This window comes from Homo sapiens, chromosome 18, assembly GCF_000001405.40.
Source record: "Homo sapiens chromosome 18, GRCh38.p14 Primary Assembly".
Lineage (NCBI taxonomy): Eukaryota > Metazoa > Chordata > Mammalia > Primates > Hominidae > Homo > Homo sapiens.
Genome location: NC_000018.10, coordinates 33,316,335 through 33,329,810, shown reverse-complemented (window position 1 = coordinate 33,329,810; position 13,476 = coordinate 33,316,335). Strand labels below are relative to the sequence as shown.

The 13,476-nt window shown below is 35.2% G+C and overlaps 1 protein-coding gene across 10 annotated transcripts in view; it reads left to right on the top strand.

Moving 5' to 3' along the window:
- CCDC178 (coiled-coil domain containing 178) overlaps positions 1–13,476 on the top strand; it is a 503,635-nt gene that overhangs the window by 111,230 nt on the left and 378,929 nt on the right. For all 10 annotated transcript variants that reach the window (NM_001371120.1, NM_198995.3, XM_011525951.2 and 7 more), the window contains one exon: positions 6,178–6,320. In NM_001371120.1, coding sequence (NP_001358049.1) covers positions 6,178–6,320 — 143 coding nt within the window. The remainder of the gene's footprint in view (positions 1–6,177; positions 6,321–13,476) is intronic.

The window sequence follows — 13,476 nt, the reverse complement described above, 5'->3', positions numbered from 1 at the left end:
ATTCATCTATGTCAGCATTACCTAGTTACTAAAGCCTGATAAATATATCACAAGGAAGTAAATTATAGACCAGTATACCTTATGAATATAGACGCAAAAATCCTCAACAAAATCCTAGCAACCCAAATCTAGCAGCATATTAAAAAGATTATACATCATGAACAAATGGCATTTATCCCAGGAATACATATGTGATACAATATATGAAAATAAATCAGTTTAATGTACCACATGAATAAAATAAAGGAAACACACACACTCACACGATTGTCTCAGTTGAAGAACAAACAATGGACAAAGTCCAAAATTCTTACATGATAAAAACCCTCAACAAACTAGAAAAAGAAGAAAACTTGCTCACTATGAATAAGGACATTTTTGTAAAACCCACAGGTAATACTGAAAATAATGGTGAAAGACTTAAACCTTTTCCTCTAGGATCATAAATAAGAGAAGGATACCCAGTTTTACTACTTCTATTTGACATTGTACAGAAAGTTCAAGCCAGAGTGGTTAGGCAAGTAAAAGAAATAAAAGGCACACAAATTAGAAATTAAAAAGTCAAATTTTCTTTATTATCAGAGGGCATGATCTAACATATAGAAAATACCAAAGAATTCACAAAACAGTCTCTTAGTGCTAAAAATCACATTTAGCAAACTTGCAGAATTCAGCTCAACACACAAAGCTCAGTTATATTTTTATACATTAGTGGTGAACAATCCAAAAAAAATTAAGAAAACAATTCCATATACGGGTCATCAAAAATAATAAAATACTAATAATTTTAAGAAGATGAAAGATTTATATAGCAAAAACTATAATATTTTGCTGAAATAAATTGAATAAGAATTGAATAAATTGAAAGACATCCTGTATTCATGAATTGGAAGACTCAATATTGTTAAAGTGTCAATAGCACCTAAAAATATCTATGAAATCAATGCAATCCAGAACAAAAGCTCAATGATCTTTTGCAGAAATGGAAAAGCCTACCCTAATATTTACATGGAATTGCAAGGAACCCCAGATAGCAAAAATAATCTTGTTAAAGAAGACCACATTGGAGAAGTCACATTTTCCAATTTCAAAACTTACTACAAAGCTGTAGTAAGCAAAATATATTTGCCTAAGTATAAAGAAATAGATAAATAAAGTAGAACTGAAATTTCAGAAATAAACATATACATCTACGGCTAATTGATTTTTAACAAGGTGCAAGAACAATCATTTATTGAAAGAAAGTGTAGCCTCTTCAACAAATGATGCTGGGACATTGACTATCCATATATATTCAAAAGAATAAAAGTGGACCCCTACCTTACACCATATAAACATTAACTCAAAATGAATCAAAGACATAAATATAAGAGCTTAAACTATACAACTCTTAAAAGAAAACCTATGGATAGCCAGGTGCAGTGGTTCACGCCTGTAATCCCAGCACTTTGGGAGGCTGAGGTGGGCGGATCACGAGGTCAAGAGATCGAGACCATCCTGGCCAACATGGTGAAACCCCGTTTCTACTAAAAATACAAAAATTAGCTGGGTGTGGTGGCACGGGCCTGTAGTCCCAGCTACCCAGAAGGTGGAGGCAGAAGAATCGCTTGAGCCCGGTGGGGCGGGGGTTGCAGTGAGCCGAGATCGCGCCACTGCACTCCAGCCTGGCAACAGAGCAAGACTCTGTCTCAAAAAAAAAAAAAAAAAAAAAAAAAAAAAAAAAAAAATCTAGGGATAAATCTTTATGACCTTGGATTTGGAAATGGATTCTTAGATATGACACTGATAGAAAAATAGGACTTAGTCAAAATTAAAAGCATTCTTGCATCAAAGGACACTATCAAGAAAGTAAAAAGACAACCTATAGAATGAAAGAAAACATTGCAAATTATATGTATCTCAAACGGATATAGTTCCCAGAATATATGAGGAACTCTTCTAATTTGACAACTGAAAGACAAACAACTAAATTTAAAATAAACAGAGAACTTGCCATGAACAGATATACATATATCTGTTATATATCTGTTCATAGTAATGAACAGATAGACATATCTTCAGAAAGACATACAAATGGGCAGCAAACACATGAAAAGATGTATGTTCAACATCATTAGTCTTTAAAAAATGCAAATCAAAACCACAATAAGATACCAGTCATACCCATTAGGATAGGATTAAAAATAAAATGGAAAGTAACAAGGATGCCCTAGAGACACTGGAACCATTGTAATTTGCTGGTGGGAATGCAAAAATAGTGCAGCCGCTATGGAAAACATTTTGGTTATTTCTAAAATAGCTAAACACAGAATTACAATATTCTTCAGCAATTGTACTCCCAGGTATACATCTAAAAGAAACAAAAGCTGAGACTAAAAAAACAAAAAGAAAAGCAAAAACTTGTACATAAATATTCATTAGTAGCACTATTCACAATAACCAAAAGAAACAGCCCAATGTTTGTTTACTGAGATAAACAAAATGCAATATATCAATGGAATGAAATATTATTAAGCCGTAAAAAGAAATGAGGTACTGATACATGCTACAACATGAATATAACGTCAAAGCATTATGCTAAGAAGGTAGACACAAAAGGTCACATATTGCGTAATTCATTTATATAAAAGATGCAGTATAGGTAAATCCATAGACACAGAAGGATTAATGACTACCTAGGGCTGGGGGAAATGTAATATCGAGTTTTGTTTGTCATGTTTTGTTTGTAATAAAGTTTTAAAACTCTTTAAAATTATTATTTTTTTATTATGCAATCTTGACCCAGTTTTAAGGCCCTGGCTAGAGGCCTGCTGAAGTTACCCAGTTGCTTACAAAATTCAAAACCCCTAGCCAGTGTGCTTGGGCTTTAGTAAATGCTGCTGCATTACAACATGTCAAAGGACTGATACTTTGGGCTAATTGAGTTTTCGCAAAGGGAGTCTGCTATACCTCTTTAAGTGCACAACCCAATACCTGGGAGGTAGACTTGATGTCTTCGAATGAGAGAGAAGGCTGCCTTCAAGTTAGGCCAGAGGGCTGCTCAATCCCCTTTTTCTGTAACCACCGAGAAGGTATGCAATATAAGTTAGCAGACAAAGATGGTGACTAGAAGCCCAAAACACGAGAAAAAGAAAAAAAACCCAAAAACAACAAGATACAGAGTGGGAAGTAAAGAGTTGCCCCCTTTAGAGTAAACAACTCTGGGAATCCCTTGCCTCATAGATAGCCAAAATATAAATTAAGGTCCCACATGTCTCTAGATATGCTAAGGCCATAAAACAAGGCTTCCAAGGACACTCAGCCCCTCCAGAGTTCCAGGCATGATGGAGTAGCCAAGGCACATATTTTACCCCTTAGAGTACACAGTGTGTTGTGTTGTCTTACCCAGTTTTGAGGCTGTGGCTAAAGGCTGGCCCTCCCTTTCTTGAGCAGCTGATTAAACCCACATATCCAACCCCTTCCTGGGCCCTCACATTCCACACCACTATGTACCCATCCTATTCTCAACAGAGACAGGCCCCAGACAAGTAGGGACACCCCCTGTACTTCAGCATCTGCTGAAATGATTAAAATTAGCCACTCCACAGAGATCTCCTGAAATTTAGCTACCCACACCCACTGGTTGCCACCCATAAGCTGTCCCCTATAGCTCCAGCTTGCTGCTAACCTGTCCCCAGCTGAAACCCCTAACACAGCCCTACCTGGTAGCCATCTCTCCTTTGGAGCTGTAACAGAATTCTGCCTTTCATCTAGCCCAGTTTCACTGCGTTGTGTCTTCCCACTAGGAGAATCTTTTAAAATAGGAAGGGGAGACTAGGGAGTAACCATTTAATGAGTTCAGGGTTTCCCTTTGGGATGATGAAAATGTTTTGGAACTAGAAAAGGGTGATGTTGGCACAACATTGTGAATGCACCGAATGCCACTGAATTGTACACTTTAACTTGTCTCATTCTATACTATATAAGTTGTACTTCAACAAATAAACTTAAGAAAATTTAGAAGGATAAATTTCAAAAGATGCGTTGTAAGATCACCGCCCCATAAAACTAGAAAAAATAATTATACTCTCAAAAATACCTTAACCACAAGAAAAATCTTGTATGTAGATATTATTCCAGTATCAAAGGGAAACTCAAAAATAAAATATCAAATTATTGCACTTAATAATAAACCCTAAAGCTGGTGATACTGCACTTGCGTATGATCTAACCTGTAAAAGATGAATAATTTCAATATTGTTTTAAATATTTAGTCCAAAGAAGAGGAGGGAAATTTTTAAATTAAATGAAGGTGACATATTTCAATACCAAAACTTTATGGAAATTCTATAAAAATAATATTACATATATAAGTTACCAATAAATACATATTTGAAAAATTACTTAAATTATTTGCCAAAGAATTCTTCAGTGTAAGAGAAGAAAAATATATCACTCCAAAGAAATGTATTATAGCACTGTGCCAATGGTTTAACAGCAGAAAATCTAGGTATATAATTTATTGTATTAACATGATTAAAAAACAGAATTTTATCAAATGATGCTTAAAATGTATTCATTATTCAAAAACTGGCAATTATAATAATTAAAATTTGAAAAACACCTTAATTTAAATAAAGAACTATTTCACACAAGCATCCATATTAATCATTAAAATGCTAAAACTGTAATAATAGGAACAAATCAGGTAAACCTGACATCCCTATTATAATTTAACATCATTTTGGGGAATTTTGCTATGTAATAGGACAATAAAATGAAATAAAAGATATACATTTAAAAATTGTGAAATAAAATTATTTTAATATTATTATAATTAAAACACCAAATAGAAGACTGTTGTTTTCAAAATAAGTTTGTATTCCCAGAACTAAACCATCCAATACAGCATACTTTTACTAGCACAAATAAAGTTTTTTTCCATACTTTCAATAAATAGTTAAAAATATAAACAGAAAATTCCTTTACTACCAAGTCATTAAATATTGATGAAGAAACTTATAAAGGTATAGACATTTAAGACTACAATTATGAAATCTTATTAAAGAAAATAAAGGGACAATTAATGTAGACACATAATATATCCTAAGACAGGAAGGCTTATTGTAGTAAAAATGTCAATCATTCCAAAATTGTTACAGAAACAGCCATCAAATTCTAGTAAAATGTACACAATAACCTTTTGGCCTGTCAATTTAAATAATATTATTAGGAAAAAGTAGTATAAAATGCTGGAAAGAGTTTTGGAACATAGGCTTTCTTCTGTTCCACTGGTGAGAATACAAAGTGTTACCACTTATTCTGGAGAGTAATTTGGCAACCAATATTAATCAAAATTCTTAAAATATATGCTAATACCTTACGACTCAGAAAATTCTGTTTTAACAGTACGTTTGAAGAAAATATTCAAGAACCTGCAGTATAACTATAGATTGTGCAATTTCCTTACATGGTTCTTCATCACAGTACTGTTGATGTTATATGTCCCTCATACATGCGTTGTGCATGTCAAACTGTGCATAATGCTCATATAATTGACAATGAGTTAAATCATGAGTATGTGTGATATAAGGGAATGTTAAGTAAAAGTAATGTGATACAGCGATATACAGAGAGAGAGACAGAAGGAAGAGATGGAGACATGAGCATTAGTATGATGTTTGATAATTAGTAAAAGAGGAGATTAGTATGATGTTTGTTCATTAGTAAAAAGAGTAAAAACTGAATATTTTGAAGTATTACACTAAGATATTAGGTTGGTGCATACTTTTAATGGCAAAAACCACAATTACTTTTGCACCAACCTAAGAATAATGGTTTTTCTTAGTGGAGAGGAGTACAGGTCACTTTGTTTGCGATATTTCATCTTTGTTTTCTGATTTTTTAAATAATAAAGTATTATTTGAGTAATAAAAATTTTTTATGAGTGAAGAGATAATGATTTCATTTTGGACATGTTAACTTGGATATTGAAATTATTTTGTTCAGTAACATTTATACATTCCCAGCATTAATGCCTGTCAGGGCTGAAATTCCACTTACCAAACCATAGGCTAAATGTGGGAAGAAAATGTTTCTAAAGAACTTTTGATCTAAATCAATACTACACTAAGTTGAAGTTATTATTTTTAATTAACCATTAAGTGCAAATATAAGCAAAAATATTTTCATTTCTAGGTAATGGACCTACACAGAAAAGTTAATGAAGAACTTGAAGAAGCTTTAGAAGCCTGTGAAAATGCCAGATTGAAGGCTCAGCAAATTAAAGAAGAGATTGATAAGGATATTTACCAGGATGAAAAAACCATAGAGGCCTACAAGTAAGAATTTTTCGCAAACACTAATTATAGCATTTAGAAATTAAATGTTAAGTAAAAATGTAATGTATATTTCTATATAGAAAATTTAGATAAAGAGAAAAATAAAATTTTAAATTATTCATACCTGTCTTATCACCAAGTTTATATGTAAATAAAAAGATATATATTTCATATATGTAAAATTATTTGTGCATAAATCCCTAAAGTACTATATTTCTGTGTCATCTTAAAGCTCTTCATATATATTGCAAAATTGCCTGAGGACATGTTATAACAATAAATATCCCTACTATGTGTGCAAAAGTAACTATTTTAAAAAAATCCAGCATGGGATATGATTAAAAACTAATTAGGTATCAATAAATGAGTTGTAAACTTAGCATGCAATATTTCAACTTGAATTTATTTGATTACGAATGAAATAAAATATTTAAATATATAGATTATTTTGGCATATTATTTATTGAGAGTTTTTTTCTTTTCTACATTTGTTCCTGATGTATTTATTTTCTGCTATTCCTTCAGTTCCTTTTGTTGACTATAACTTCTTTATGATTCTGTGTGATGTAATAGCATTTTTATTTATTAAAAATTGATCAATGATTTAGTATAAAAGAATTTATAGTCACTATGGGAGTTACAGTCATATACATATAAGCAAAATTAATTTATACAAAATTTCACAACCTAGATAACATTCATTTCTTAAGGTGTTTATATTTCCTCACATCCAATGTATATTTCAACATGTACTTAAATATTATCTATTTAGTTAATAAAGAAATCTCTTTTATAACTAATCTGATTAGTTATATTTGATCAATTGGATATATTTTCTAATTTTTATCATGATTTCTTCTTTGACCCATGGGTTATTAAGAAATATGTATTTTTAAAATTTCTATGTTGAGTTCTAATTAATTTTTATTATTGCTTTCCAGTTGAATTGTATTTCCGTGAGAAAAATTTATATAGTTTCAAACCATGAAAATTGTTCAGTCTTAATTAAGAGTGCATTTTTTGGCATGTACTCCTTGTGTAATTGAGAATAACATTCATTCTTTACTTGTTGAGTGTACTGTTGTTACTCTTTCATTAGATCAAGTTTACTAAGCATGGAGGTTAATCTTTATACCACAACATTAACATTATCCAGGTGTTCATTCAAATTTCAGAAAATCAGACTCAATACAGACCTATTAAATGAGAATCTGCACTTTTAAAATACCCCGAGGTGATGTTTGAGAAGCATTGCTCCATTTATTAATTTTTTTTTAATTTTTCTGTCAAGTAATGAGGAAGGTCTATAATTGCCCACTATGGTGATACATCTGTCTACATAATTATTTTTATCAGTTTTTGCTTCCTATATTTTGAGGCTATATTCTCAGGTGCATGCAAATTTGAAGTTGTTAATATCCTCCTGGGATACCAATTAACCTCCTTATCATTAGGAATTGACCTTTTTTGACTCTTGGAACATTTTTGCTTAAACTCAATTAAGGCATGAATACAGTTGTACTAGCTTTCTTTTGATTAATAATTTTAATTAATCTCAATAATTTAAAGTTTTTATATTTTAGATATATCTGTTGTAAACACCATGTAGACACATTTTTTTTTCAGTTTGAAAATATTTTCAAGGGTGGACCATTAAGTGCGTTCATGAATCACTAACATATTTGGATATAAACTACCACATAACTTACTCTATTTGCCACATTTGTTGTATTTTTTTCTTTTTTATTGCCTTTTTTCATGTTGATTATTGGTATTTTCTTATTTCTTGAATTTGATTATTATAATTTTGTTTCTATTCTTTTAGTAGGAAATCCTATTAATTACCACCACAGGCAAACTTAATGTTGTCAGACTCTAAAAATATCTGATACTGTTATCCTGCTGACAATGAAAGGAACTAAGAAAAATTTTACTCTAGTTATTACATTTCTTCTGAATTAAATATTTGTCACTGTTGCTGAATATTTCATTGTATAACAGATAAGTACATTATTATTGTTTTAAGTAGTCAAGGTTATTTTTTAAATTTACCCACAAAATAACTATTTTTATTTTTTCCTTCATAAATGTTAGGCTTTTCATCTAAGATTACTTTCTTTGTAGATTCTGGATATTAGCCCTTTGTCAGATGAGTAGATTGCAAAAATTTTCTCCCATTCTGTAGGTTGCCTGTTCACTCTGATGGTAGTTTCTTTTGCTGTGCAAGAAGCTCTTTAGTTTAATTACATCCCATTTGTCAATTTTGGCTTTTGTTGCCACGCTTTTGGTGTTTTAGACATGAAGTCCTTGCCCATGCCTATGTCCTGAATGGTAAAGCCTAGGTTTTCTTCTAGCATTTTTATGGTTTTAGGTCTAACATTTAAGTCATTAGTCCATCTTGAATTAATTTTTGTATAAGGTGTAAGGAAGGGATCCAGTTTCAGCTTTCTACATATGGCTAGCCAGTTTTCCCAGCATCATTTACTAAATAGGGAATCCTTTCCCCATTTCTTGTTTTTGTCAGGTTTGTCAAAGGTCAGGTGGTTGTAGATGTGTGGTATTATTTCTGAGGGCTCTGTTCTATTCCATTGGTCCCTATCTCTGTTTTGGTACCAGTACCATGCTGTTTTGGTTACTATAGCCTTGTAGTATAGTTTGAAGTCAGGTAGTGTGATGCCTCCAGCTTTGTTCTTTTGGCTTAGGATTGACTTGGCAATGCAGGCTCTTTTTTGGTTCCATATGAACTTTAAAGTAGTTTTTTTCCAATTCTGTGAAGAAAGTCATTGGTAGCTTGATGGGGATGGCATTGAATCTATCAATTACCTTGGGCAGTATGGCCATTTTCACAGTATTGATTCTTCCTATCCATGAGCATGGAATGTTCTTCCATTTGTGTCCTCTTTTATTTCATTGAGCAGTGGTTTGTAGTTCTCCTTGAAGAGTCCTTCACATCCCTTGTAAGTTGGATTCCTAGGTATTTTATTCTCTTTGAAGCAATTGTGAATGGGAGTTCACTCATGATTTGGCTCTCTGTTTGTCTGTTATTGGTGTATAAGAATGCTTGTGATTTTTGTACATTGATTTTGTATCCTGAGACTTTGCTGAAGTTGCTTATCAGCTTAAGGAGATTTTGGGCTGAAACGATGGGGTTTTCTAAATATACAATCATGTCGTCTGCAAACAGGGACAATTTGACTTCCTCTTTTCCTAATTGAATACACTTTCTTTCTTTCTCCTGCCTGATTGCCCTGGCCAGAACTTCCAACACTATGTTGAACAGGAGTGGTGAGAGAGGGCATCCCTGTCTTGTGCCAGTTTTCAAAGGCAATGAGTCCAGTTTTTGGCCATTCAGTATGATATTGGCTGTGGTTTTGTCATAAATAGCTCTTATTATTTTGAGATATGTCCCATCAATACCTAATTTATTGAGAGTTTTTAGCATGAAGGGCTGTTGAATTTTGTCAAAGGCCTTTTCTGCATCTATTGAGATAATCATGTGATTTTTTGTCATTGGTTCTGTTTATATGCTGGATTACGTTTATTGATTTGTGTATGTTGAACCAGCCTTGCTACAAAGAACTCAAACAAATTTATAAGAAAAAAACAACCCCATCAAAAAGTTGGCAAAGGATATGAACAGACACTTCTCAAAAGAAGACATTTATGCAGCCAACAGACACATGAAAAAATGCTCATCATCACTGGCCATCAGAGAAATGCAAATCAAAACCACAATGAGATACCATCTCACACCAGTTAGAATGGCAATCATTAAAAAGTCAGGAAACAGGTACTGGACAGGATGTGGAGAAATAGGAACACTTTTACACTGTTGGTGGGACTGTAAACTAGTTCAACCATTGTGGAAGACAGTGTGGCGATTCCTCAAGGATCTAGAACTAGAAATACCATTTGACCCAGCCATCCCATTACTGGGTATATACCTAAAGGATTATAAATCATGCTGCTATAAAGACACATGCACACGTATGTTTATTGCGGCATGATTCACAATAGGAAAGACTTGGAACCAACCCAAATGTCCATCAATGATGGACGGGATTAAGAAAATGTGGCACATATACACCATGGAATACTATGCAACCATAAAAAATGATGAGTTCATGTCCTTTGTAGGGACATGGATGAAGCTGGAAACCATCATTCTCCGCAAACTATCGCAAGGAGAAAGAAACAAACACCGCATGTTCTCACTCATCGGTGGGAATTGAACACCGAGAACACCTGGACACAGGAAGGGGAACATCACACACTGGGGCCTGTCATGAGGTGGAGGGAGCGGGGAGGGATAGCATTAGGAGATATACCTAATGTAAATGACCAGCTAATGGGTGCAGCACACCAACATGGCACATGTATACATATGTAAGAAACCTACACGTTGTGCACATGTACCCTAGAACTTAAAGTATAATAAAAAATATATATATTTAAAAAAAGAGAGAGTGCTTTCTGGCTGAAGTAGATCCTTTAGCATAACCTTTAGCAAAGTTTTCCTGATGAAAAACTTTCAGAATTTTTGTTCAAAAGATATTTTCTTTTCTTGTAGAATTGTTGATTCTTAGTTGACCTTCATATATTAATTATAACATTTCATAATCTATTAATTTTCATTTTTGCCATTAAGAAGGAAGCTGACCATTTGACTTTCAGTTTTATGCATCTAATCTATATATTTTTTCCTTTGGCTGTTTTGCCTGTTTTTAAGACCATCTCTTTGTTATGAATTTTAATTAATTTTATTTTTCAAGATATTCTAGGTGTTAATTTTTATTTATTCCAGTGGGATTTGTTAGTCGTCTTGTTTCTATGTATTGGATTTTTCATTAATCTTGAGCATTCTGAGTCATAATCTTTTCAAACAATTTCCTTGGTCCCATTTTCTATGTCTTGTGCTCAAATTAAACATATATTAGATTTTCTTATTGTGTACTCCATACTTCTTGATCGTTTTCTCACATTTTCTGTTTTCAAGCCTTCTGAAGACTTTCTTCTGGCTTATTATCTATTTAAATCATTTCCTTTTGTCCTGAGTTTAACATGAAGACCATATGACTGCACCTTGGCAACCACCAACTACGAGAAATGCAATTGACCAAAGGACTCTGTTGTTAGCAGCATCTGACATGGCTTCCAATGATCTCAGCTTCTCCTCCCTGATATTCATTTTACTGACAAAGCCACTCACCCAGAAGATGGGATCTTTCCTTGTTTGGAGTCACAATACCAATACACAAAACCAAAAGTGAGTGTTAAGCAGTGCAGACCATGGAATTGAGAAGTAGTAACATGGCTCACAACTCAACTTCTCCACTAGTGAAGGGTGAGGGTGTTAAAATATAGGATTTATTTAATGAGGAGGTTGGACATTAAAAGCAAGGGGAGGGAATATTCTTATCTTTTCCGGAAATAGGTAGTCAACTTCCCAGAACCAGAGTGCTGCTTCATTTTTGTCCTCCTATGCCTTCTTCCGGTTGTTTCATGAGGATTGGCAATGGTCACGGTGCTGCTGGGTGCTCATTCCATTTAGCATGGAAATGAGATTATAATGAGGCCTGAGGTCCTTTTGAAGTCCTTTGGTTGGCTATCTTGGCTTAAACCTGTCTCAGCTGGTCTGGTTACAAAGGAAACTTTTTTTTTAATCACAGGTGTTCTGTTTCTTAAAGATAAGCAGAGTTAAGGCAGGGTAGAAATTCAGCTATGTCATGTAGGCATTGCACTGGATAACAAATCTCCCCTTTTCTGTATATTCACTCCTCATTCTTGAATGGTGCTGAGGAGTAAAAGTCTGTCTTCTACAACTTTCTGAATCTGAAGTTGGGTGTTAATATTGTTACAGGAAAGGGGTCCCAGTCCAGACCCCAAGAGAGTGTTCTTGGATCTCGTGCAAGAAAGAATTCAAGGTGAGTCCACAGTGCAAGGCAAAAGCAAGTTTATTAAGAGAGGTAAAGTGGTGAAAATGTGTCCAGAATTGGTGGGTTCTTGGTCTCACTGACTTCAAGAATGAAGCCGCGGACACTTGCGGTGAGTGTTACAGTTCTTAAAGGCGGCGTGTCCAGAGTTTGTTCCTTCTGATGTTCGGATGTGTTCGGAGTTTCTTCCTTCTGGTGGGTTCGTGGTCTTGCTGGCTCAGGAGTGAAGCCACAGGCCTTCACGGTGAATGTCACAGCTCTTAAGGCCACACGTCTGGAGTTGTTCATTCCTCCTGGTGGGTTCGTGGTCTCGTTGGCTTCAGGAGTGAAGCTGCAGACCTTCGCAGGGAGTGTTACAGCTCATAAAGGCAGTGTGGACCCAAAGAGTGAGCAGTAGCAAGATTTGTTGCAAAGAGCGAAAGAACAAAGCTTCCACAGTGTGGAAGGGGACCCAAGCAGGTTGCCACTGCTGGCTTGGGCAGCCTGATTTTATTCTCTTATCTGGCCCCATCCACATCCTGCTGATTAGTCCATTTTACAGAGAGCCAATTGTTCTGTTTTACAGAGAGCTGATTGGTCCGTTTTGACAGGGTGCTGATTGGTGCGTTTACAATCCCTGAGCTAGACACAAAAGTTCTCCATGTCCCCACTAGATTAGCTAGATACAGAGTGTCGATTGGTATATTTACAAACCCTGAGCTAGACACAGAGTGCTGATTGGTACATTTACAAACCTTGAGCTAGACATAAAGATTCTCCAAGTCACCACCGGATTAGCTAGATACAGAGTGCCGATTGGTGCATCCACAAACCCTGAGCTAGACACAGGGTGCTGATTGGTGTGTTTACAAGCCTTGAGCTAGATACAGGGTGCTGATTGGTGTATTTACAATCCCTTAGCTAGACATAAAGGTTCTCTAAGTCCCCACTAGACTCAGGAGCCCAGCTGGCTTCACCCAGTGGATCTCCCACTGGGGCGGCAGGTGGAGCTGCCAGGAGTGCCCTGCACCTGCTCTCCGGGCGCCATCCAGCAGGGGGCGGCGCTCGTCAGGGAGGCTAGGGCAGTGCAGGAGCCCACGGCGTGTGGGGGGAGGGGTGCGGGGGGCTCAGGCATGGCAGGCTGCAGGTCCGGAGCGCTGCCTCACGGGGAGGCAGCTAAGGCCCGGGGAGAAATCGAGCGCAGCAGCTGCCCGCCCAGGTGCTAAGCCCCTTACTGCCCTGGG